The sequence below is a fragment of the Homo sapiens genome, chromosome 9 (genome assembly GCF_000001405.40).
Source record: "Homo sapiens chromosome 9, GRCh38.p14 Primary Assembly".
Classification (NCBI taxonomy): Eukaryota; Metazoa; Chordata; class Mammalia; order Primates; family Hominidae; genus Homo; species Homo sapiens.
Window position 1 is genome coordinate 110,998,180 of NC_000009.12, and position 26,039 is coordinate 111,024,218.

The following is a 26,039-nucleotide window of genomic DNA, read 5'->3' on the forward strand; positions in this document are numbered from 1 at the left end:
CACATGGCCTTTAATAGAACTGGAAATAATAATTTAAAATAATACATAATTCAAGACTAAAGTCTCTGATAAGTGTCTGAAGTGTTCAGTATTGTTGATTAGAAAAAGTTTTAAGTGCTTTTAATACCTGGCAGAAAAGGCAAATTTGGAATTTTATTAAATAAATAAATAAATTGGACTTTCATCCAAACTGAAGGTCATTCCACCTGGTCAATTATAAGGACTGCCAGAAATATTGTTTCAGGAGAGAACTTTTGAATTATTCAATAAAGACTGTAACTGAAACACCGTGGACCAGTGCAAAAAAGAACTGAGGGCAGGTGTTACCATTTATAAATCCTGGACATTAAAAATACACACACATGTTTAATGAAACTCCTAAGAGCATGTTAAGTTTGAGAACTTCATCCCGGCAAGCGTCTACAACAATAAGGGAGCTGCAATTGTACCTTCACATTATATGACTTGATCTGTAGCATAAAGCTATTAGTGTAATCCATCTGAATCTGAATTTTGGAGGGTGTCGCCCAAGGCAACAGATTTAGTTTTGACAAAGTCAATAGCAAGTTCTTCTTAAAGAAAAGAACTGGACAATAGGTCTGAGGATTCTTAAATTCATTTTCTGTTCATGAGCATAAGATCACACCATAGCTCTACCGGAAAGGCAATATCTAATGCATAGATAGATTTCTTAAGTTATCAAATCATAGATTCAAAAGAAGGCATAAGGATGTGGACACAGGTGGGTTTTATATCATTTGGAAATGGAACTTGATCTGTCAAAAGATAACTCCTATATACTATGTTATTCTCTGGATGGCTGTATCAATCCTCTTAGGAAACATTAAAGTTTAAAATCTTCGTGATCAGTCAGCTCAACCCAGAGACATTTTATTAAGATCAAAAGCTGTAGTGAAATTAATATATCCCGCACATGGTCATAAAGTGACTTCTGAATAAAGATGATGTCAGCCCCAACTCCCCAATATGTCCACACCCAATTTCCAGTCAAAATACAAATGAAGACAAAAACTCAAAATAGCTCTGAAACCAAGAATAACAACCAGCCATTTATAAGAACCTGGGAGTAATATCTATTAAGTACAGTGCAGATGGAACTGAATTAAAAGCAACTGGTGTCCAACGAATGCTTTAATTGCTAAAAAAGAACAGCTAGAAATAAATTAGAAGGTTCAGACCTCCCCCACCCTACCTCATTTTCCAGAACACTGGAATGAGCAGGAATGAGTAGCAGCAGCATCCCCACACCATGCAGCCCTGCTTTCTAAAACAACCAGACAGCTATCCACTTGTCTTAGTCAGTTCAGGCTGCTATGAAAGCTACCACAGACTGGGTGGCTTAAACAACAAACATTTCTTTCTTACAGATCTGAAGGCTGGAAGTCGAAGACCAGGGTGACAACAAAGTTGGGCTCTGATGAGGCCTCTTCGGGGTTGTGGTCTGCGATCTTCTCAATTTAGCCTCATAAGTGGAAACAGGGCTAGAGAGCTCTTCTGGGGTCACATTTATGAAACTCCTAAGAGCATGTTAGGACAGGGTCTTGCTGTCACCCAGGCTGGAGTGGCGCGATCTACCTCACTATAGACTTAAACTCCTAGGCTCAAGTGATTCTGCCACCTAAGCCTCCCAAGAAGCTGAAACTACACGCACACGCCACCACACCAGGCTAATTTTTTAAAATATTTATTAATAGTAGACACAGGGTCTTGCTGTGTTGCCCAGGTTGGTCTCAAACTCCTGAGCTCAAGCAAATCTTCTGCCTCAGCCTCCCAGAGTGCTGGGATTACAGGTGTGAGTCAACACACCGACTGTAGGGTCTCTTTTATAAGGCCCCTAATCTCATTCATGAGGGCGGAGCCCTTATGACCTAATCACCTCCTAATACCATCGCCTTGGGGACTGAGATTTCAACATATGAATTTCAGGGAGACACATTCTTCAGTCCATAACACTGCTATTCTCCCTTTCTCTTACCCCTTTCAGAAGCTCTGTACAAAGAAGTTTTTTCATAAATCAGCAAGCACAATAAACAATCTACTGGTTGGTTCATGGCCTCCTGAATATGGGAGAACAGTAGTCCAGTTCTAAAAAGAGCTGGGTACAAGAATTCTAACATGAAAAATTTCCTTGTCACTAGCCAAATCTCTTAGTATTGACTTGTGACTAGGGAAACAACAGGCTCCACTTTGATCGGGTGACTTCTTAGGGGCATGGGGCCAGGGTTTTCTCCTGTTTCAGCAGTCAGGGTCCAGAGCCTCCAGAGGTAGTCACCAGGATCACCCTTGTCAATGGTGCCAGCTGCTCACTTGCACAAAGGCATCAGGCTAAAAGGAGAGCCATGGCTGCAATCCAGCAAGGACTGCTCTACTCCCCCAGCCACGTGCCTCAGTGTGAGCTGTGCTAGCCCAAAAGAATAAGCCTTCTGAAACCAGGCAGGAACCTGTGCAGCTAGTAAATGGGGCATGGTTAGAACTCCAAAGTCTAGGCCCACACTGTCCAATATGATAGTTGCTCTCCTACGTGCACAGTGCAGAAATACATTTTCCATTATCACAAAAATCTGTTGGACAATGCTGGAATACTGTCCACAAAAATTACGAAGTGGAAGGAAGCTTTGCCACTTTTCCATTAAAATGGAAATACTCTTATTCTCTCCTACAAAATACAGTCTCCAGAGAGGTCGGTCATTTTGGAGTCAGAATTAAATCTAACTAAATGCCTCTAAAACAATGAAAACCTTAAGACAGCTGGTACACTAAGCTCATAATAACCCCTTTTGTTCACTGCATGTTTCCTATGTTTTAATATGCTAAAATCAAACACATGGAAATGCTGAGCTGTTTTAAATAATACTCCTCAAAAAGGAATAGGGTTCTCTTTAGAAGCATTTTCTTCAATATCAGGAATAACAAGAATCTCACTATTACTCCTACTATTCAACACAGTTCTAGACAGCCTAGTTAATTCAATGAAACAAGACAACAATAAATAACATGTAAGGAGTGAAAGAGTCAAAACTGCCCTTATTTGCAATCAAAATGATTATTTAAATTCAAAGTCCAAGGAAGTCTATAGATAAACCTGCTCCTAAATTTCCAGTGAAATGCTAAGGACCAAAATAGCCAAGACAAATTAAGAGAATAGAAGTAGAGGACTTGACCTACCAATGAGTAAGACATATTAAAAGCCATGTAATGAAGGTAATGTGACAATTGTTCCAGGCTAGACATTCAGAGGTACACAAAGTTTCAAAACAGTCTTACATAAATGATACACATGACATTACAGTGGGGACATAAAGGGACTGGAAAAAAAAATGGTTCTAAGGCAAAAGGAAAAATATACCTAATCAGACACCCCAACTTCATATCATACATAGAACTAACATCCAGATGGACTAAAGGCCTGAACATAATTTGACTGGCCTAGGGGAACTCCAGCATCATGCTGGTCTCTTATTTCCTTTTAGCTTCATTTCTGAACCCTTCTACTGTTATTCTGTGCTAACAATCTAATGTAGGGAAAGCTGCCTCTATTTCCTGAAATAATACAGAAACAAGAAGTTAAAAAGACCGTGCTTGAAGATCTCTTTTATACCTAAAACTAACCACTGGCTTCCTTCCCCTCCAAAGAAAGTCATGTAATGTTCCTGATTCAGCAGACAGATTAAAAGCTCAATTAGAATTCTATTTTTAAAAATAATACATACAGCTTCTGAAAGAACATATAAGATGCCAACTAATCAATACCCTGGATAAAAACTTCCAAAATGACTAATAAATACCCTGGATAGGAACTTCCATATAAAAATTCATATAAATGTAGCCAACAAATGCAGAACAAGATTTAGCTTTTAACATATGCTAACCTTCTTTGGAAATTAAATATTTTACCTGGAAATAACAGTGGTTTTTTAAAGTTCTATCTTCAGACTTTCTCCTTGGTTTATAGCTCTTTTTACTTTATATAACACTTACATGTTTCAGCTGATTAATAACAACTACGCAGGAACATTCAATTCCAGAGGCAATTTTAATGTAGTCATTGATAAAATACAAGCTATCATAATAAAACTGTTTAATTTACTTAAAAAAGGAATGCAGTTCTAATCACATATTCATCTGTTATACTTTTCTTGTAAATTTCCCTTCGGAAACCAATTTTAAACTTCTAAACCACCTCAATCTGCACACTTAACAGTAAATCACGGTAATATGTGTATGTATTCTAGCTCTCTTGAGGCAAAACAAGCATTTAATTTTAACAGACACTACTCATGGGGTGCCAAAGTTAATCACACAAAACCAGAAGTATGGCTCAATGTGGGAACATATTTCTGAATGAACTTATCATTAAAGATAGAAAAAGTGTCCCAGAATGTAAACTAATAATGGGAGGTAATGAGGATGAACACAGTGCAATATTCATTGCTGTTTGAGAGCTGAATAGGTAGGTATTCTCTTATTCCTAATCGAAATTAAGATAAACCAAGGGACCTAAAACTCCAGAGATAGGATTTTTCCTGCTAAGGCTAATGGAACAAAGCAATTAACAACTTTCAGTAAAAGAGGAATGCAAGAACTATGCTCTAGAAAGATGTGTCCATCAAAAGTCGAAAGCGCTGTAGGTGTAACTTCTCTTTAAAATATGAAGGGAGCCAGGCATGGTGGCTCACACTTGTAATCCCGGCAGTCTGTGGGCCTGAGGCAGGAGAATTGCTTGAGGCCAGGAGTTTGAGACCAGCCTGGTCCACATGGTGAGACCCCATCTCTACAAAAAAAATAAATAAATAAAATATGAAGTGTTGGTTACAAGAAACCTAATTTGTATACCCAGATGAGAAATTCTGGGAATCCAGGCAGATCATCAGGAGCCCATTTGAAATGGAAATCCCCTGATCCTGTGGAATCAACTGTAAATTAAACAGTTTTATTATGATAGTTTGTATTTTATCAACGACTACATTAAAATTGCCTCAGAATTGAATGTTCCTGCATAGCTGTTATTAATCAGCTGAAATGTGTAAGTTTTATATAAAGTATTTAAACCACAGAGATTCAGTCACAAACAGAGAAGGCAGGATTATGGCTGTCCCTATCCCTGGAGTTTAGTAGGCAAGCCAGAACACTCCACGGTAAGACAGAGTCAACACATGCACCCTCGCATCTCAAGTAAAAGCCCGCAAGAGTGAGACCAGCAGGGTGGCACACAAATCTACTTAGAACCCATTCTCTAGGGACAATGAATGTAATTTGCTTAATAGAGTGAACCACAAATCAAAAGAGAAAGGGCTATGTTGGGTGCTAAAAGTGTTACAAACACATAGGCATCCCTGAGGATGCCCTAAAGAGTTTTCTTATTTGGAAGGAAAATCTCCTTCTCTTTGGGGAGGGTAAGATAAGTACAGTGAACTATTATTTGGGGATCAGGGACTAAAAAGTGGTGGCTGCAATCACAGAAAGGGCAGTCACCCATGAGCCAATGCAGTGTGGCCAGGTCAGAAGCTTCCTCCTCCACCATCCCAAGGAGCCGGACCATGAAAACCAAACCATTCTTTGTGGGAGTTAAGGGGAGATGGTGCAGCCACATATCCTAGGAATTATTCCCCCAAACCTCCAGCTGTATCTCAGATTTATATGGCTCACAGAAACAAAAATATAATGGTAAAAATAATTGGGCTCAGAATTCATAACTCAGAAATAACTGAATTTATTTGCATATGTCTTGGACCACTATTCCAACTAACATGTAATATTCATACTCTTAGTAGTGTCAAAGTCACATTAACTATTTCAATGAAGTTCATCCCAACAACTCAGACTTAAGAAAAACTAATCATTCCATGAGGGCATAATCAAGGCTCCATCCTTCACCCAGTACACAGCTGCCATAGTTCTTTGTGCTCATAAACATTTGTGAAATGCATGTCTTGATCCTCCAGTGATAGTCACCGTCACCAATTTTGGCTAACAATGACTTTGCAAGATATCTCTCCCATTCATCCTAGTCTTCAATTGGCCACATCTTGTTTTGCACTGCAGTTTACTTCATTCAATTATTCTCTCTTCTGTGGCTTCAGTTTTGTTCTCTCCTCATTTCCCAGTCCTCAGAATATAAACATGCTAGGTTTCCTATTCAAGAAAGAAAAAGTACTCCCTTGACCCCAACTTCTTCCTTCTCTCTCGTTCCCCTACCCCATCCTCCCTTTTCAAGGCCCAGGATACTGAAGAAACTGTGCTTATTGCTTTTACATTTTTATATGATGAACCATGGCTTCCTCCACCCCAACTCAAAACCTTAAGATCACTGACCTCTAAAAAGGTTCTTTCTCTGTCCTCATCTTACTTGACCCTCTGTTGGCATTTTGCATCATTAATCACTCGTTTTAATTTTGCCCTACTCACAACACCATGCTCCCTTGATTCTTATCCAACTTTGTGATAGCCTTTTCTCAAGCTTCTTTGCAGGATCCTCTTCCTCTGATGACTAGGAAATGTTGGCTTACCCCCAAGCTCTGTACTTGGCCCTTTCCTATTCTACTTCTGCTTACTCTCCTTAGGCCATCTTATCCATACCAATCAATTCCACAGACACTTATAGTCTGGTGATACTTAATTATGCATCCCATTCCAGAATGTAGTCCAACATTCCAACTTAATAGATTCAAATCCATTCTTGGTTGAGCACGGTGGCTCATGCCTGTAATCTCAGCATTTTGGGAGGCTAAAGTGGGAGGATCACTTGAGCCCATGAATTTGAGACAAGCCTGGGCAACAAAGTGAGACCCCATCTCTACAAAAAACAAACAAACATAGCTGGGTGTGATGGCGTGTGCCTGTGGTTCCAGGTACTCAAAAGGCTAAAGCGCAAGCATTGGTTGAGCCCAAGAGGTCGAAGCTGCAGTTAGCCATGATTACAACACTGTACTCTAGCCTGGGTGACAAAGTCTCAAAAAAAAAAAAAAAAAAAAAAAAGTTCTCTAGCTCTAATCTCATTTCATTTCTCTCTGTCTCTCTCCAATTTAACCTCCTGCAATGATCTAACAAAATTGTGGAAATCCTTTCAATTGTTAAGAATTGGGAGGGAGGTGGGCCAGGCGTGACGGCTCATGCCTGTAATCCCAGCACTGTAGGAGGCCCAGGTAGGTGGATCACTTGAGCTCAGGAGACCAGCCTGGGCAACATGGTGAAAAAAATTAGCTGGGTGTGGTGGTGTGTGACTGTGTAGTCCCAGCTACTCGGGAGGCTGAGGTGAGAGAATTACCTGAGCCCAGGAGGTGGAGGTTGCAGTATACTGTGATGGCACCACTGTACTCCAGCCTGAGCAACGAGTGAGACCCTGTCTCAAAAAAAAAAAAAAAAAAAAAAAAAAAAAAAGAAGAATTGGGAAGGAGGAAGCAAACTTCAGATTCCTTTGTACATTCCCCAAGACCTCCCCTGATCCAGCCTCTGCCTCATCCACTAGCAAGTCTTAACATTATTTACCAACAAAACTACCTGGAGTTCCTAGAAAACATCATGTTACTTCATGCCTTCCATATTCTGTTTTCACAATTAAAATGCCTTCTTCCACTGCCTATCCACAAGGTGAACTCCCTTTATCTTTCAATCTTCCAATGTCCAGCTGATGTCTCAGGAGTCTCCTTAATCACTGCCACACACACATCATCAGCAGTGTGTTGGTGTGCCCTGCTATATGCCATCACCTCTGTACCTTGCACATAAGTCATAACATTCATCACACTAAACCCTATTCAGTTATGAGACAACTGCTGGACTTTGAGCTTCCTGAGGATAAAGCCAGCACTATAATTATTTTTTTATCCTAATGCTCAGTGTGCCTGGCAATATAGACAGTGCTCAATAAAGGGTAATTGAACAATAAAAGGAGGAATTAATGAAGGCATATAGCCACTAGAAATGAAAAATGAACTGAAGAATTGGTTTGCCCAAAAGCACAAGTATTCTAACACAACTATTTCCTGTCAAATGATTTTCTTCATTCATGCATGCATGCAAAAGGCTGTACACAAGACACAAAGTGCTGGTAATATAATCTTCCCAGCTTTCTCAAGTCACTGAAAATCCTGATGATGCAAGAGCCTTCCTAGTCAATCCCACACATTCCATTCCCAATGGCCATTAGGAAGAAAAAGAAACATACAAAATGTTGGGGAAATGATCCCTAAAGGTTAAGCATTATAATTAACTTTCTGTCTTGGCACATCCTTTAACTTATTCCTTCTTCCTTAACACACGCACCTGCTTGTTCCATCATGAATTTGGAGTTCACCATTGCCTGTGCAAACATCTATATTACCAATTCCATGCCATGGTAATTACATATTCAAAAGTTACAGACTCAACACACAAAAAAAATCCCAAATAATTTGGGTTGATCCAAATCACACCTCCAAATAGGTACACAGGCAAGCCAACTCAAATAAATTCACAGGGGTATAAGGTATAAATCTTTATAGCACATAAACAAATGTTTATGCATTAGAATTGAGTATGAAAAATAAAGCCTTAAGAGATCTAGAAGAAAATACAGTAGAATGTTTATATAGTCACAGATTGAGAGGAGGCTATTTTAGCATAAGGCCAAAGAAAAGACTGATAAAGGTAACTACCTAAAATAGTTTGGATATTTGTCTCCAACCAAATCTCACATTGAAATGTAATCCCCAGTGTTATACCTGGGGCCTGATGGGAGGTGTTTGGATCATGGGGACAGATCCCTCATGAATGGTTCTGGAACATTCTCTTGGTGGTAAGTGATCTGAGTTCTCTCAAGATATTGTCATTTAAAAGTATGTGTCACCTCACCCCAACTAACTCACTCCTTCTCTCCCTTTCTCTCTCTCTTTCAGTGGTGCTTGTTTGCTCCTGTTTTCACCACATGAGGTGCCTCCTCCCCCTTCACCTACTGCCATGACTGTAAATTTTGTGAGGCCTCCCCAGAAGCCGAGCAGATGCCAGCACCATGCTTCCTGTAGAGCCCGCAGAATTGTGAGCCAATTAAATTTCTTTTCTTTATAAATTACCCAGTCTTAGGTATTTCTTTACAGCAGTATAAAAATGGCCTAATGCACTACCTAAACATTCAAAGCTTCATTATATTAAACAAATGCATATTTGAAAAAATGCTTTATATCACATCATAAACTGTTAACATTCTTAAAGTTTAAAAACGAAAATTATATGTATTAAATATATAGCTTAAACAAGTAAATTTTTAGATGAGCATCCCAATAGAAAAATGGTTGATAAACATCCACAAGAAATTTATGAAATACAAATGATCGATGAGCATAAGAAAAAATTGTGCCTAACTTAAAGTGATTAAATAATCTAATTTTAAAAATAAAATGCCATTGCCCCCAACACATTGATAATCTTTCTAAATTTATAATATTCAGTTTAATGAAGTTGCTGCACTTTCGAGCACTGTGATCAGGGGTTTCAGTATGGAAAAATCTCATCCTGTCCCTGAAGGATGATTTTGGCAATATGTATCAAAAGCCAGACAAACACACCCTTTGACCTAGCAATCCTACTTCAAGATGTTTATCATTGGAAAAGAAACAGCAATCTGTGCTAACATACCTATTGAAGACAATCATTACAAAACTATATCCGGGAAATTGAAAGCAACCCTAAGGTTTCGAGAAGTGGTATTAATTTAAGATGCCGAGCGCGGTGGCTCACACCTGTAATCCCAGCATTTTGGGAGGCCAAGGCAGGCAGATCACCTGAGGTCAGGAGTTCAAGACCAGCATGGCCAACATGGTGAAACCCCATCTCTACTAAAAATACAAAAATTAGCTCGGTGTGGTCGTGGGCACCTGTAATCCCAGCTACTCGGTAGGCTAAGACAGGAGAATCACTTGAACCTGGGAGGTGGAGGTTGCAGTGAGCCAAGATTGTGCCACTGCACTCCAACCTGGGCAATAGAACAAGACTCCATCTCAAAAAAAAAAAATCTTATTAATAACAATATATTTGAAGGACAAAATATGTCCTGCTATTTTAAAAGTCACACTATAGACGTCTTTTCCCAGAATACTAAGAGCAAAATACAGTGAAAACTCTTCTAGCACAAAAACATGTAAAACTGCTGTGTGTGTATGCATACATAAGCACACACCTCCACCTCTGTAAATGTTTACCCAAGTTGGCAAAAGTCATGAATCTCCCAAGAAGCAAAAGTAATCAAGAAATCAACTCGGAAAAGAAAAAAATAACAATAATAAACTAGGGAGTCTGTCAGCCGATTATATCCCAATAATCCCAGGTGACCTTGAGTTTTGGCTTTTAAAAGCAGAAATCAAGTGAAAAATGGAAGTCAGATCAAAGACCTCTGCAAAAAGCTGGGACATCCTACCCTTAACAGCTGAACTAATAGAAAAAATACTGACCCAAGTCACACAGGGAGAGGGTCAGAAAATGTGACTGTCTCACACATGGATCTACATGGATCTAGGTAGGAAAGAGTCGCCCCTGAGAATTTATATCCGGACACTTGCCCTTAATAAACTGGGGATGACCTGAATTCCTACTGCTGGTGTAGCCACCCAAAAACCTCAAGCTAATAATTCAACCTGATGTGGACATGGGTTGAGAGTGCCTTTAATGCATCAAACAGAAGAAAACACAAATTCTTTCTGAACTGATTCACCTTAAGCTCTCAAAGAATTCCCAGAGAAAAAGTTCCTAGAAACATGAGCTTACATTGGGAGAATGGGGAGTGGGGTGGGATCGCAAAGCACATACAGAAACAAGTCAACATTTACAAGAGTCATCAAAAAGAACAAACAGTCGAAGCAGACTTACAAAGTCTACAGATACTGGGATTATCCAATACAGACTATAAAATAAAAATGTTTAATAAGTTTAAAAGTAAAAGAGGACATATTAAAGGATAATATATTAAAAATGACTTACAACTTTTAAGAAGATGTAAACAGGGTTCCTAAAATAAAAATAGAAACAGGGTTCCTAGAAATATAAAAACACAGTATTTCAAATTAGATATTCAGTAGGTGAGTAATACAGCTGATTAAGTGCAACTGAAGAGATAATTAGTAAAGTGGACCATCACTACAAACGAATTACACAGAGGCACAGATGGGAAATCTCAAAGTGAGGTTTAGAGTCAGGAATGAGATTTAAAAAAAAAAATTCATACCAAAACAAATTTTATTGAGCATTTATTAACACAAAAATGTTTGATACATTCCTAAATATTTTTTAAAAAGCCACAAAGCAATATATACTTGTGTCATTTTTATTTTTTGAAAAGTGTGGGGTTTACAGACATAAGTGTACATATTTGGAAGAATTGGTAAAAATGATTGGTTTATGTTTGAGTGGAAATATTTCAGTCCATTTTTTGTTTACATTTTTATATTTTCCAGGGGTTCTGAATTATATATGAATCACTTTTATAGTAAAAAAAGTTATTTAAAAATTAATAGAAAATAATACTGGGCATATATATATGTATTTGAGTATATGAAGGGACATATACCAATACTGTTAACAGCTGCTATTTCTAGTTTTTCAGAATTTGCATGATTTGGATGATTTTTACCTATAATTTCTAATCAATAATTGAATAAATTATATGTCTAAATATGGAGGGGAAAAGACTTGGTACTTACAAACACTAATAGAGATTTTATTATGGATGCTAAGTTACTATGATTTTTATATTTTACAAATTCTCATTTGTTTTTGTTGTTTATATAGTTTACACTTTACATATTTTCATTTCTCATTTCATAATTAGGAAAATATATATATATATATATATATATATATATATATATATATATATATATGGATACATAGATAGGTCAGTTGGCCATAGAATTGTATACAAACCTTTGTGCAAGAAAATCCCACTTTAAAATTGAAAACAAATATGCAATATATCTATATATTTATATACAATGTTTTCAGAGACTTACAATGTGACAGGAAAGCACTGCCTTTAAATGTTAAAATTTTAAAACACAGAACAAAAATACATTCAGCTCTCATAAAGGTCTTGCAGAGGAATAACAGGCAGAAATTATAGGAGAATGTTAACAGTGGCTGTTCCTGGTGTCCTAGTTCCCTTCTTGCATTAATATCTGGGGAGGGAGAGAACAAGAGCGCCAGTCAGAGTTTCTTGATGTTAACATACATCTGGCCTCAATTTTGATTCTTGGGAACCAGAGCAGTGGAAGCAAGAGACCAGGAAAATAAGGTAGGGGCTAAAACCACCTATCTTAAAACATGTTAAAATGTACAATCATTGAGGTGAATTAGAGGCAAAAAGTCAACATTTACTACCGCCTTTCAAGATAAGGGAAAAGGACCAGTGCAACCAAGAAAAGGGAAAAGCCAATAATACTTAGCTGTTGCCGCCTTTCTTAATGACATAAAAACCCACATCAGACAATTTTTTTTGGTACCCTACCCTTGAACTGGAAACCACAGATTTTAATCTCTAATTTATTTAGGAATAAAAATTCAGATCACAGGCAACACACTTCCATGTGACTTTAAATGTATATTATTAGCTAATGATAGGAAAACCTCACATTGCCCAGTTGAGTTCACATAAAATGTCATGACTTCCCTTCTCCTTCCAGAAACAGATCTCTGAAAGCATATCCCTAAAGAAGAATACCAAATATTAGCCAGAAACTTAATTTATTCTATCCCACATTCCTCTGATCTTTGAAAAAGTGATTCTGCAGTGCTTTCCAAATTCACAGCAGACATAATGTATGAACATCAAATCATCAAAGACAGTTCAAGAGAATGCCTCACTTTTAGAAACACTACAAACTAAAACTTAAGAGCTTCTACACCTGCAAATAATAAACTTCAAAGGCAATCCAAACTATCCTGGCATTTATCATTTGTGAGCATAAGTGTATGTAGTGGGTGTAAGTCTGTGCTTGGTTTTAATAATCAATTGACTGATTATAGTTTAACTAGTCTTATTTCAGCCTCGAATTCGTGTAGAGTGTCTTAAAGCTATTTTAAGTATGTTGTTCATAAAATTTATAGCATCTCATCATTGGAAGAAAACTTCTGAGGTCTAGTTCTACATCTTATCCAATCCTTTAGTCACTGCAGAATCTATTCTCTATGTCTGCTGGAACACTTCCAATAACGGGAAGCTCACTACCTTCCAAGGCCAGCCATGAGATCCTTGGACAGGCAGTTTGCTAGAAATTCTCTCTCAAATGTAGTTCAGATTATCCTAACTGAAAAACCCATCCCTGGGACCCAGCTACTCTTTTGTAACCAAACTGAATCCCGTTCTTTAAACACTTCAAATCTTACCTGGCCGATGAAGATAGAGATCAGATTGTCTGTTTCTTTCTTTCCTCTGTCTCATAATTCTATTTTGCAGATCCTTTAAAACTTCTTTCCACTTTTCACTGAGAACACGACAGCTGATTTATTCTATCCTTCAAGGATGACACCTAAAACACAATATAGTACCCTTGCTGGCTAGTTCTGACCAGTCCAGAATATGATGAAGCCCACTTGTTCTTAATGTTTGGATATGAGGTGTTTAGAGAGCACATTATAATGAAAACAAAATGTCTACAGTTTGATAAAACAGTCATTTCAAATTGGCCCAACTTTGAAAAATGCTGCTACCGTGAGATGGAAAATAATAATAACTAAAGTCCCCAAATCCACTGTTTCTCAAAGAACATGTGGCCCACCAGTTGTCTGTTAAAAATGCAGAGTCTCAGCTAGGCACAATGGCTCATGCCTGTTATTCCAACACTTTGAGAGGCCAAGGCAGAAAGATCACTTGAGCCCAGGTGTTCAAGACCAGGCTGGACAACATAGCGAGACCCTGTCTCTACAAAAAAATTTTTAAATTAGCCAGGCATGGTGGTGCACATCTGTGGTCCCAACTACTCAGGTAGCTGAGGTAAGAGAATTGCTTGAGCCTAGGAGTTCAAGGCTGCAATGAGCAGTTATCATGCCACTGCACTCCAGCCTGGACAATAGAGCAAAACCCTGTCTCAAACAAACAAACAAACAAACAAAAAATGCAGAGTCCTGGATCCTTCCCAAATTATCTGAATTGTGAACACTGTGAGCAGGCTGAAAACTCTGCATTTAAATACACATCTCTGGCATTTCTGATGACAGTAAACAGTGAAAACCAATGCCTTATCCTATGCTTGCCGAATTGTTATTGTTTTAACAAACACAAACACACACATGCATGTACGCACGCGCGCACACACACACACACACACACACACATACACACTCAGTATCCTGGTAGTCCACAAAAGCAGAATTGAATCTGGGTTGGTCTCAGTTGATGGTAAAGCTAGGATTAGAACAAGACCCTGGTAATCACATCTTTCAGTTCCAGTCCAAGCTTGTCCCCTAAAGAAGAAAACAATATCTGGGATGTGGTAGGAGGATGAGACAGAGTTTTAAATGGGGCTGATGGGGCAAAATAAAGAGCCTAAAATAAAGCAATTACTTCATTCACACTTGATCCTTTGAGGTTGGTGGTAAAAAACTAAGAAACTGTTCAATTGAGAGAAATATGCCAGAAGAGAGGAGAGGAAAAGGCAAGGAAAGAGAAAGGAGAGGAAGAAGGAAGGAAAATTTCGTTTAATAGTAAGCGGGAATTCCTGTGACTGGACAGGACAGACCAGCTGGATTCAGCCTGTAACTTTGTGAAAGGTCTAGAATTTCACTCTTAAAATTTTAATTTTCAAATTTTCTTCTGTTAATGTTAAGCTTTACGTGATTTAGAAAATGTTCTCCCCTAAATAAGCAAACTCGTCATGAAAATCGCTGATATCTGCATTTGCTGCAACAAGAACAACAAAAAATACATTCAAGGATTTTTTTTAATTCCAGGATAAGGATCAAATTTATTTCCTCATAGAACAAGAAGACACTCTAACAATGAAGGCCAAAAGTGCTTGTAAAATCCTTTTTGCTGTTGGGGTCGTAGTTTTAAAAAGTACACTTCATTCCAGTTCTAAATACACACGCAAACTACAGACAAAACATCCTACCACAAAACTAAATCTGAAAATGTCCAGGACCAACCAATCCACAATAAAGAGGTTAAACACCAAACCCAAAATGGTAAATGTAATAACCATGACCCTCACCATGTGGTAAGAGATGAATCTAATTAATGTTACCTTAAAAAGAACTTAAGTAACTCCTTCCTGTCCTAATTGCCCATTATAAGCCTCAGAAGCCAGCTGTGTGGTAGAGACAAATCAGTGACATTCAGCAAACCATGTTCTGACCAAAGTACCACTTTACCCTGTGTGAACTCTATGAAACATGCGTTAATGGATTCCAAGGGCATTTAAAGAGGCTATAACCTGTCAAACATTTACAATTACAATGGGATCAATAAAAATGGGATTGTTAGATGGCATTTTTCAGATTGCTCTATTCTGATTCCAAAAAGAAAAAGAAAAAAAGGGTGATCAGGGAGCCGTGACACAAAACAATGACATTTTGTTAAATCCTGAGGCTGGAAGAAACCTTAAAGGTTATCTAGTAAATTTCCCCAACCTTCATTCCCTCTTGCAAACAACTCAATCATCAAGCAAGTCATTATCAAGGGCAATTTCATCACACCCAACAGTCTGACCTCTCAAGTTAGTTTCTGAATTGACTATACCACTTAGCCCCTCATCATTCAGAATTGCCTGTGACACTTCAAAATCCCCCTTTATAGCTGAAACTATGCATCTATGCAGCTGTTTGTGCTCATACACATTATTTCAGCCCTCCAAAATACCCAGCCTCCTGCTCCCTCCATTCTTTCCTGTTCACCAGCCCTATCCAAGGTCAATTCTCACAATGCCCAGCCTAAATACCATAGTCAGCCCTCTGGGCTCCCCTCACACCAGCCTGATACCTCCCATGCTCCTTTCTGCCAATCTGCCCTTTGACACCACAATCATGATTAAACTCCAAACTGCCTGTTCTGCTCCCATTCACAACCTCCAGAGGCCTTGTGGGGAAAACTTAAGGACAAGGTAAAGCTGTCACTATTAATGAATGCATTCTAATCTCAGGTGAGCCCAAAAAGAGAAGCCATCAGTGCTGCCATTTCTCTCGGCGCCTCTTCCAAGCCTTAAATCCCCTAAAGGAACTCCCCAGTTTGCACATCCATCATGGAGAAGTTGATGAACATCAGGCAAGAAGCCCCCCAAACTCCCATCCTTCCCATCCTTCTCTCTCTCTTACCAACCACCACTTGAATGATCCGAGCCATTCTTTCGGATCTCTTCTCTACACTTAACACTAGACCCATCCTCTCAACCTTGGATCACATTAGAATGACCAGGTGTCTGCCCTGGCCTCTCTTTCAAAGACTGAGTCATGGCCTGAAGTGAGCCCCCTGCACATGGCATGTTTCAAAAGCTCCCCCAGGTGTTCTTAAAATAAGCCAAGGTTGGGTATTACTGGTGAAGACAATTTTTATCCATGCCCATGATTTTAAATACCAAATCTGGAGTTCTTTTCTGGGCTGTGTTCTCACACATCCAAATGCATTATAGAACCACCACCACCACCCTACATACTCCATAGGGTTTGCAAATTCAACATGTACCAAACTCTTCATCCTTCCTGTTCTAGGCTAAACTGTGTCCCCCCGAGAAATTCATATGTTGAGGTCCTAACTCCCAGTACCTCAGAATGTGACCACATTTGGAGCCAGGGTCTATAAAGAGGTAATTAAGTTAGAATGAGGTCATTAGAGTGGGCCCTAATCCAATATGACTAGGGTCCTTATAAGAGGAAGAAAGTTGGACACAGGCAGGTACAAACGAAAAACCACATGAAGACACGGGGAGGAGACCATCACATGCAAGGCAAAGAGAGAGGCCTCAGAAGAAAACAGTCCTCACAATTCTCTATGACTTCCAGCCTCCAGAATTGTGAGAAAATAAATTTTTGTTGTTTCAGCCACCCAGTCCGTGGGACTTCATGGCAGCCCTGGCAATCTAATATAAATACACTTCCCATGTCCTTGTTACTCTCTCCTACTTCGTCTCATTCAACGGTATTGTCATCCATTCACTATCACTCCTCCCCCTCCCTCACCCACCATATCTATTCAATAGCCAAGTTGCATCAATTCTTCCTCCTAAATGTCTTTCGTATCTACCTTCTTCCCTCCAAACCCACTGTTACTGCCTTAACTCAAGCCCTCTTAAGATATCTCAGTACTATACGATCTCAACTTATAGGTAGAATCTTAAAAAGTTGAACCAAGAAGTAGAGGGTAGAATGATGGTCACCAGAGGCTGGAGGCAAGGGATGAAGAACAGTGGGGTGGGAGATAGGGAGTTGTTGATCAAAGGGCACAAAGTTTCAGACAGACAAGAGGAATAGCTTCTTTCTGAGATCCACTGCACAGCAGAGTGGCTAGAGTCAATAATAATGCATTGTATATTTCAAAATAAGAGTAAATTTCAAACGTCTCACCATAAAAAATTATATAGGTCAGTGAAATGGAGGAAAAATAAAGATGTTTTCATAAATAACTTTTTTTAAAAAGCTATTCTAGTCCCTTCTACCTGCAACTATTTCTCCTGGGTGTTTGGAGAATAACCTTCCTAAAACAGAAATCTAGTATGGCAATGATCTGTTTCAAACCTTCCCATGGTTCCCCATTGCCCCAAGGCCAGCCTCCTCATGCACGGCAAACTGAGTCCTTCAGGTACTTCTGGCTTAGGCTATAATTCACCTTGCTTGTTAAGCCCCAGCACTTTGGATCTACTCAGAAATCCCCTAACATATAATGCTAATCCACACAGCTGTCTTTGCATATGCACTTGGCTTTTCCTGGAATACCCTCCCTTGTCCAAATTCTATGCCTGGCAAATATCTACTCATCTTTCCAGTCACAGCCTTTCAATGAAGCCTTTTATGGGTCCTATTCCCCACCCAGATTAATCACCACCTCCTCTATGCTGCTTCTGAACTTACACATACATCATTACACTGTGACCATATACCAGCAAATGTCACAAGCACAAATACCCACAGGGACCAACCAGGTATCATAAATACATGAAGTGCCAATGAAAACAGATCTTTAGCTTCCATGATACAGAAACTACACTTGCACGAGGAACAATCATAATGCCCACCTGTCTATGCTGACTTTTGAAACTTGACCTGAACAAATAAACTGTATGTGGGGCCAAATTCATTTAGCACATAGACTTCCAGTCTTGCAAACTCTGGCCAAAGGCATCAACTGTCAGAGCCTTCATTTCTCTTCCTTCTACTCCCTGAAGTAAAAAGACTCCACAAAATCCGTGCTCATAGGCTGATCTTTGTTCATGCTACTCTCAGTCAAGTCAATGCTTAAAGCACAGGAACCCACACTTAACTGACCACAAAGAGAGGATGCAGTATTGAGCTTAATAACCTTGAACTTACTGCTACTCAGTTCTTATCAAAAATATCCTTTTGCATGAAGTAATATTCATAGGAAACATCCTGAAAAGTATCTAATTCAGCACTCCACAAAGAATGTGGAATGTCTATGCTTGGACAGAGCCAGCAGTGAGCTGCTTGTCTGAACTGTCTTGCTTTGGCTCTTACAGAATGGCTTTTCTGAGATAAGCAATTGGCATTATGCCATTAACCTATATTGAGCAATACAGTTTTTTTTAACCCCATTGTCACATTCATTGTAAGATTGTATTTGGAGACACGACTCAATACATTAAAGTACCTAACGTTTGGAGAACCATGGATAAAATCCTCTCTCCTCCCAGCACATGAAGAGTTCTCCTCCCAGCACATGAAGAGTTGTCCCCCCTGGTTAGTCCTTATCTTCATGGGCTTTCTGGGTAACACAGCTCATTGAGTCCCCTCTTCATGTCAACTATGAGGAAGAACAGCAAAATGCGTGGCCCTTTTCTAATACATGAATAGCACCCTAAGGTGGGCCCTTGGTCTCGGTCTCTGCTTAAATTCACACTCACTTCCTCTTACCCCATTTCCTTCCTATGCTTATTAAATTTCACTATATTTAGTAGGAAAACAGACATGCAACTAACTTATAACATTGCATTTATCACATGGTACCTTCATTCAGTTCCCATCCCTCGAGTCTGAGTTTTTTGAAGGTGGGCCTCCATCACTAATGAGATATCAAATTTAATTGGATTACATGTGACTACTTCCAGTAATGGGTGAAATTGCAAATCTATTACCTCCTAAGGAAGCTCACTTTATTTCCCCAAGGCACAAAAGTGGTCCCTGACTGTAATATCAATGGCATCTAGAAGAAAATTGAGCTTATGCGGGTAAATATGCAAAATACACACTAAACCAGCACAGGTATAATTACCATTTAGTTTTTAATTCTTTGCTATTCATTTTTAGAGCACTTGCTCCATTTTCTAGTAGTTAACCAGTTATTTCACAGAAGTATACTCATCAGGAATACCCTACCATCAGTTGATGCAGTGTATACAGTTAAAAACAAAGCTTGGCTGGGCGCAGTGGCTCACGCCTATAATCTCAGCACTTTGGGAGGCCGAGGCAGGCGGATCACGAGATCAAGAGATTGAGACCATCCTGGCCAACATGGTGAAACCTATCTCTACTAAAAATACAAAAATCAACTGGGCATGGTGGTGCCTGCCTGTAGTCCCAGCTACTAGGGAGGCTGAGGCAGGAGAATTGCTTGAACCCAGGAGGTGGAGGTTGCAGTGAGCCGAGATGGCGCCACTGCACTCCAACCTGGCGACAGAGCAAGACTCTGTCTAAAAAAAAACAAAACAAACAAACAAAAAAAAACTTTTTCACAGCATATTAAAGGACATAAAACTAAGGGAAGCTTGAAACATAAAGTTCTCTGTTAGAAGACAAAACTGTGGATGAGTGAAAGACATGACCACAGTGGAGAGAACATCCACCAATGAGGTCTAGTCAATGTCATCCAGGACAGATTATTATTAAAGTTTCCCATTGCTCTAATCATTTCACATTTCACTTATACTAATTTCCATCTTTAAGTTTTTCTCAAACTCTGCTGGTAGGAGTATGAAGCATTATCATTGTTTTGGAAATCAATTTAATCATTTCTATCTCTAGCCATAAAAATCATCCCTGCCTTTTAAGGCAACAAATTATATTACCAGGAATCTACTCTAAAGAAATTACCTGAAATGCAAAAATAGGCTTGCAAAGATATTTACTGAAGTGAGTTCACTATAACAGTAGCTGAATGGAATTAACATCACTTCCATTTACTGCATACTATTAAGAGAAAGGACAAAGTACTGATTATGCCCAGTAGGATTCCAACTAGATAAAATTTACAGAGAAAATATTAAAAGGGAATATCCCATAAACTTGACAATGGCTATCTCTAGGTGGGGAGTATGGGTACTTTTTCCTTCTTCTTCTTTATATTTTTCTTTGTTTTCTAAAATGAGCACAAACAGGTGTTACTTTTGAAAGTTAAGTTTTTAAACTACCTTTTAAAATCTACTTGGAAACCAAATGATATTACTTTCAAATCAGTGATCTCACTCTTAATCAGTCTACGGAAATTACATAAAAGTTGTTGAGTACAATACTTTTTAAAACAGCAAGTACAAAGGAAATAAAACTGTGTAAAAATAGGGCAATGGTTGAATGAACAGTTTAACAGCTTAATGGATTATTATCAGGCTATTAAAAATATGATTCAGACTATATCGCCTTATATAACAGTGTGTTAAAAAACAATCAGTAGAAATAAAAACACACATTTGTTACTTCTAGGTAGAAGTAGACCATAAAATAGAACATAATAGAAATAGGCCATAAAACTAACATGACTAAATAACAAATACATTCATTAGGGAACTGCAAATACAAGTGGGTTTATTTAAATATTGCCATAATGTGATTTCAAAAATAATTTTTTTAATGTTTTTAAGAATACACTAAGGGCCAGGTATGGTGGCTCACACCTCTGATCCCAACACTTTGGGAAGATTGCTTGAGCCCAGGAGTTCGAGACCAGCCTGGTCAACATCGCAAGACACCTTCTCTATTAAAAATAATAATAATAGAGATATATTTTAAAAGATAATAAACAGTATTTCATATAAAAACAATTGGTTTTAAATAAGTTGAACAGTTTTAAATACTTTAAGATGTGTTCACTGGAACATTTTTACTCACTGAGTCATTCTGCCACTAAAACGGGATGAAGAAGGAAAAAGGAAGAGAGTTAGGCAGGTAAATGATAGTGTGTGTTTTCTGCTGAACGGCTACTGGACAGAGTTACTTTTATTCCCTACCCAAATTAGTGGAATGTTGTATTAGCTTAGGCTGCCATTAAAAAGTTCCTTGGGAGGCCGAGGCGGGCAGATCACAAGGACAGGAGATCGAGACCATCCTGGCTAACATGGTGAAACCCCGTCTCTACTAAAAAAAAAAACATACAAAAAATTAGCCGGGCTTGGTGGCGGGCACCTGTAGTCCCAGCTACTCAGGAGGCTGAGGCAGGAGAATGGCGTGAACCTGGGAGGTGGAGATTGCAGTGAGCCAAGATCACGCCACAGCACATCAGCCTGGGCGACAGAGTGAGACTCCGTCTCAAAAAAAAGTTCCATACGTTAGGTGGCTTAAATGAAAAAAATTTATTTTCTCATAATTCTAGAGGCTAGAAATGTAATACAGGGTGCCAGCATGGTTGGTTTCTGGTGAGGGCTCTCCTTTTGGCTTGCAGACAGCTGTCTTTTCACTGTTTGCTCACACAGCCTTTCCTTGGTGAATGTGTATAGAAACAAAGATCTCTCTCTTCCTCTTCCCATAAGGCCACCAATCCTATCAGATTAGGACCCCACACTTATAATCTCATTTAATCCTAATTATCTCCTAAAAGCCTTATCTCCAAATACAGCTACACTGGGGGTTAGGGCTCCAACATGAATATTAGGGAGAAAATCCAGTCCATAGCAAATGTTAAATATGTTTTATAATAAATCTCTTGTAGAAAGAATACATTTAGTCATGAGACCTCAGCTAATTCCTGCTCCTAGAGAAATAGTATTCAACAAGGTTCTTAATCCCTGAATCAGATGAGAATTTGTGATTTCAAAGCCCTCTACTTTAAGATGACCAAACACTTGAAGAGAAGCTGGGACTTTGTCCCAAGGTCATGGTGACTAAACCCCTGCTTGAGTGTTGAGATTCCCTTGAACAATCAGCGAAGTTCAACTGATGCTTCCAACTCTGAAAATAAATTTCTCCTGGGAGCTTTAGACTTTTGTCTACACCACTTCTCTCTTAGGGCTATCCAGAATGCCTTTTATGGAATTCTAGGCCAGGCATCTACATGCTCTGTGCCTCTTCCTGGCTTTGTCTACCTTGAACCTACCCTAACCCCATGACCCCAGCCCCTTCACACCCAACCTGTTTCTAGTACTAGCATTGAGCACCTGTGCCTAGTACCTACTTGGACCTACACATTGCCAAACATTGCCTGTGCCTGTGTGACCTGCCCCTGCCTTGTCTCAGATCAGGAGCCTGGAGTCCTGGCTGGTTTCCATATAATAATCAGCTTAAGAAGATATTTAACAACAAATTAAAAAAATCAACTGATGAATCAGCACCAAAACACACTAAGTAAAATCTCCAGAGTTACCTGGACTTCCTGAGTAAATATTTTACTATGAATGAGGAATTCAGCAGAGTTCAGACAAACAGAAAAAGCATGCATCTCATCTTTCTTCCCTCGATTTCTAAACAAAAAATAAGAACGAGTGTAATAACATATTCACGTTACAATAAATGAACTTGAAAGACTGAATATATTGAATTACAAAAAAATAATGTTGAAATGTATTTGAATCAAATGATTTAATATACTGGTAAGAAAAGCTGAGTTGATGGGGGAAAGGGAAGATGCTGGTCAAAGGGTACAAACTTCCAGTTATGAGTAAGTTCTGGGGATCTAACGTACAGCATGGTGACGATACTTAATAGTACTCATTTCACAGTATATATGTATATCACCATCATAAGTAGAACTTAAATACAGTTTTGCTTGTCATTATACATCAATAAAGCTAGGAGGAAAAAGAAAAGATAAGCTGAATTGCCAAGTACCTTTAATTCTCTTTCACATAAGCCCATTTCTTATAAAATATTCCTTAAACTTGGTGTAGTCATTAAAATTGAATTCATCTTCCATATGATTCCTTAGCCCTTTAAAATCTTTTTAAAATAATATCACCCTCATCCAATGGGTTTTTATAAAATGTGGAATATATATAACTTAGATGCTGCATATTTCTCCAAAGCAAGCATCCAGCATATAAACATAAGATAATCATATTTTTCCATGTTTGCTGAATCTGAAAGGATAAAAAAAATTAATTCCAAGTGTTGTCAAACTGCAAACTATGATATAAAGTCTTAAAAGATTTAGGCCAGTTGCCGTGGCTCACGCCTGTAATCCCAACACTTTGGGAGGCCCAGGTGGGTGGATCACCTGAGGTCAGGAGTTCAAGACCAGCCTGACCAACATGGTGAAACCCTGTCTCTACTAAAAATACAAAAATTAGCTGAGTGTGGGGGCAGACACCTGTAATCCCAGCTACTCAAGAGGCTTAGGCAGGAGAATCGCTTGAACCACCCGGGAGGTGGAGGTTGCAGTGAGCAGAGATCCCGCCACCGCACTCCAGCCTGGGTGACAGAGCGAGACTCCGTCACAAAAAAAAAAAAAAAAAAAAAAAAAAGTCTCAAGAGAATTCTAATCTTTACCCATTCTTCCATGTTGTAATGAGAAGCATTAGTAGTGTTGCCCAATGTGAAGGAATTAGTGCCACCTGAGCCTGACCCCACAAAGACACAGAAAGATGCAAATACCTGGAGTTCTCCCAAGTTTGGCCTGAGCTTGTTGGACTAGGTTAGTTAAATGGTGGGGTGCCAAGTCTTTAAACAGCCAGAGCAAAGTTGAAAATAGAAAGCATAAAGGCACTTAATACTAATAATAGGACTGGGAGAATGATTCTTGCAAACTGATTTCAAGTCCTCCATTTTAAGACAAGGCTCCCAGGGCCTCAAAGGTTGGGTATTGTCAAGGGTATCATGCACAGCAATGGAAGAACTGGCAATTGAATCATGGTCTCCCATCTCACGTGGTCTCCAACTTACTTTATGGACTTCTAATTTAAAATCTTTCTTTTAAACTCTTCAGTTTTAAAAGAGGGTGGGGGGAATGAACACTAAAATCCTACCAAGGTAAAAAAAACAAAAATCCTAGTGCAGTAATAATTCTTACCATTATATTCAAATCAACAAGAAGCAATGAAATACTCACCCAACCATCTGATCTTCACTTACAAAAAACTTAACTTCAGTGTTATAATTTCTTACAAATTATGCATAGTTACTAAATTGGTAATTATATTATATAAAAGTATTTTTTAATCCAACCAAATCTATTTCTCCTGCATATCGAACACAACTTTGTACAGCTCCTCATACAGAGCAAGCCTTCAAAAAACCCTGCTATTGCCGGGCGCGGTGGCTCAAGTCTGTAATCCCAGCACTTTGGGAGGCCAAGGCGGGCGGATTACGAGGTCAGGAGATCGAGACCATCCTGGCTAACACGGTAAAACCCTGTCTCTACTAAAAATGCAAAAAAAAATTAGCCGGGCATGGTGGCGGGTGCCTGTAGTCCCAGCTACTCAGGAGGCTGAGGCAGGAGAATGGCGTGCCCGGCAAGCAGAGCTTGCAGTGAGCCAAGATCGCGCCACTGCACTCCAGCCTGGGTGACACAGCAAGACTCCGTCTCAACAAAAAAAAAAAAAAAAAAAAAAAACCCTGCTATTTAGCAATATACTATATTGCTCTAATACAAAACTACTTCAACAAACACCAACACCCATCTCCCCCAAAAAATCCTTGACATTCCTATTTGACTTTTGTCAAGTAAGAAAAAAAAGCCACAAACAGGAAGGCCTACTAAGTATCACAAAAAATGCCAACTCATCAAAGAAGATTGCCTTCCACCTGTCTTTCCCTTCCGGTTTTCTATTTTGCTTCTGTTACTATTTCTTCCATGACTCTGCAATCCCACGCACACACCCCTGCTCAGTCCTTCACAGAGTTAACACATTCTCATCTGCAGACCTAACCAAATGTCAGTTCCCCAGGGAAATCCTGAATCACCCCCAAAGTCAGATGAGGTTCCCCATTTAATCGCTTTTGCTCTTTTCCCCCACAGAATTTATCATGCAGAGTATTTATACATTTGGATGTTTTTTTTTTTGGTTCATATGCTCCATCCCACTAGACTCTATGCTTCATGCCACCAGTGATAACGACTGCTTTACTCATCACTCTATTCCCAGCTACTAGCAAAATAACCGATACTGTATTTAACAAATGGATGTTGAAAAATGAATGAACCTGATTTTAGACAGCACAGCAACAGACTAGATCAGTGTCTTTCAAACTGCAGTTCATGACTAGATAAGTGTTTTCAAAATGTATGAGTTATAACCAGTACTTTTTAAAATGAAAATGAACAAATTATCATAGGAAAAAATAGAAAAGAAAATGTCAGAGTTTACTATGTGTAGTAAACTATATACAACTAATGTCTCATTCAAATGTATGGACAAACATTTCTAACTATGGGTCATGACTAAAAAGTTTGAAAGCCACTGAACTAAATGTCCCAATAAAACTCATCACAATTTCCAGTTAAAATGCTCAAGAAGGTGCACACAAAGACAAAAATTGGCAATAGCACTAAAAATATACGAGGAAAAAGCAGCCAAAGTCAAGGCATTATTTCCACTAACTACATAGTACAAAAAATGGGTAAGAAGCATGTTCTTGGACCATATGCACAATGCATACCACACCTTTTGAACTTCAACAAGATAGATTCTCTAACAAATGTAGAAAAAAATCCTGAGTTGAACTCAGGAAATGCAGAAGATGCAACTGGCCAG

At 38.8% G+C, this 26,039-nt stretch overlaps 1 protein-coding gene across 77 annotated transcripts in view; it reads right to left on the reverse strand.

Moving 5' to 3' along the window:
* LPAR1 (lysophosphatidic acid receptor 1) overlaps positions 1–26,039 on the reverse strand; it is a 165,736-nt gene that overhangs the window by 124,917 nt on the left and 14,780 nt on the right. For 12 of the 77 annotated variants that reach the window (NM_001387475.1, NM_001387476.1, NM_001387481.1 and 9 more), the window contains one exon: positions 7,286–7,360. The exons of 26 other annotated variants lie outside the window; for them this stretch is intronic. The gene's annotated coding sequence lies outside the window, so the exon portion shown is untranslated. Of the gene's footprint in view, positions 1–1,213; positions 1,293–7,285; positions 7,361–10,968; positions 11,023–13,368; positions 13,512–26,039 lie in introns of those variants that run through there. 39 more of the 77 variants (NM_001351399.2, NM_001351402.2, NM_001351401.2 and 36 more) reach the window with 7 other exon arrangements.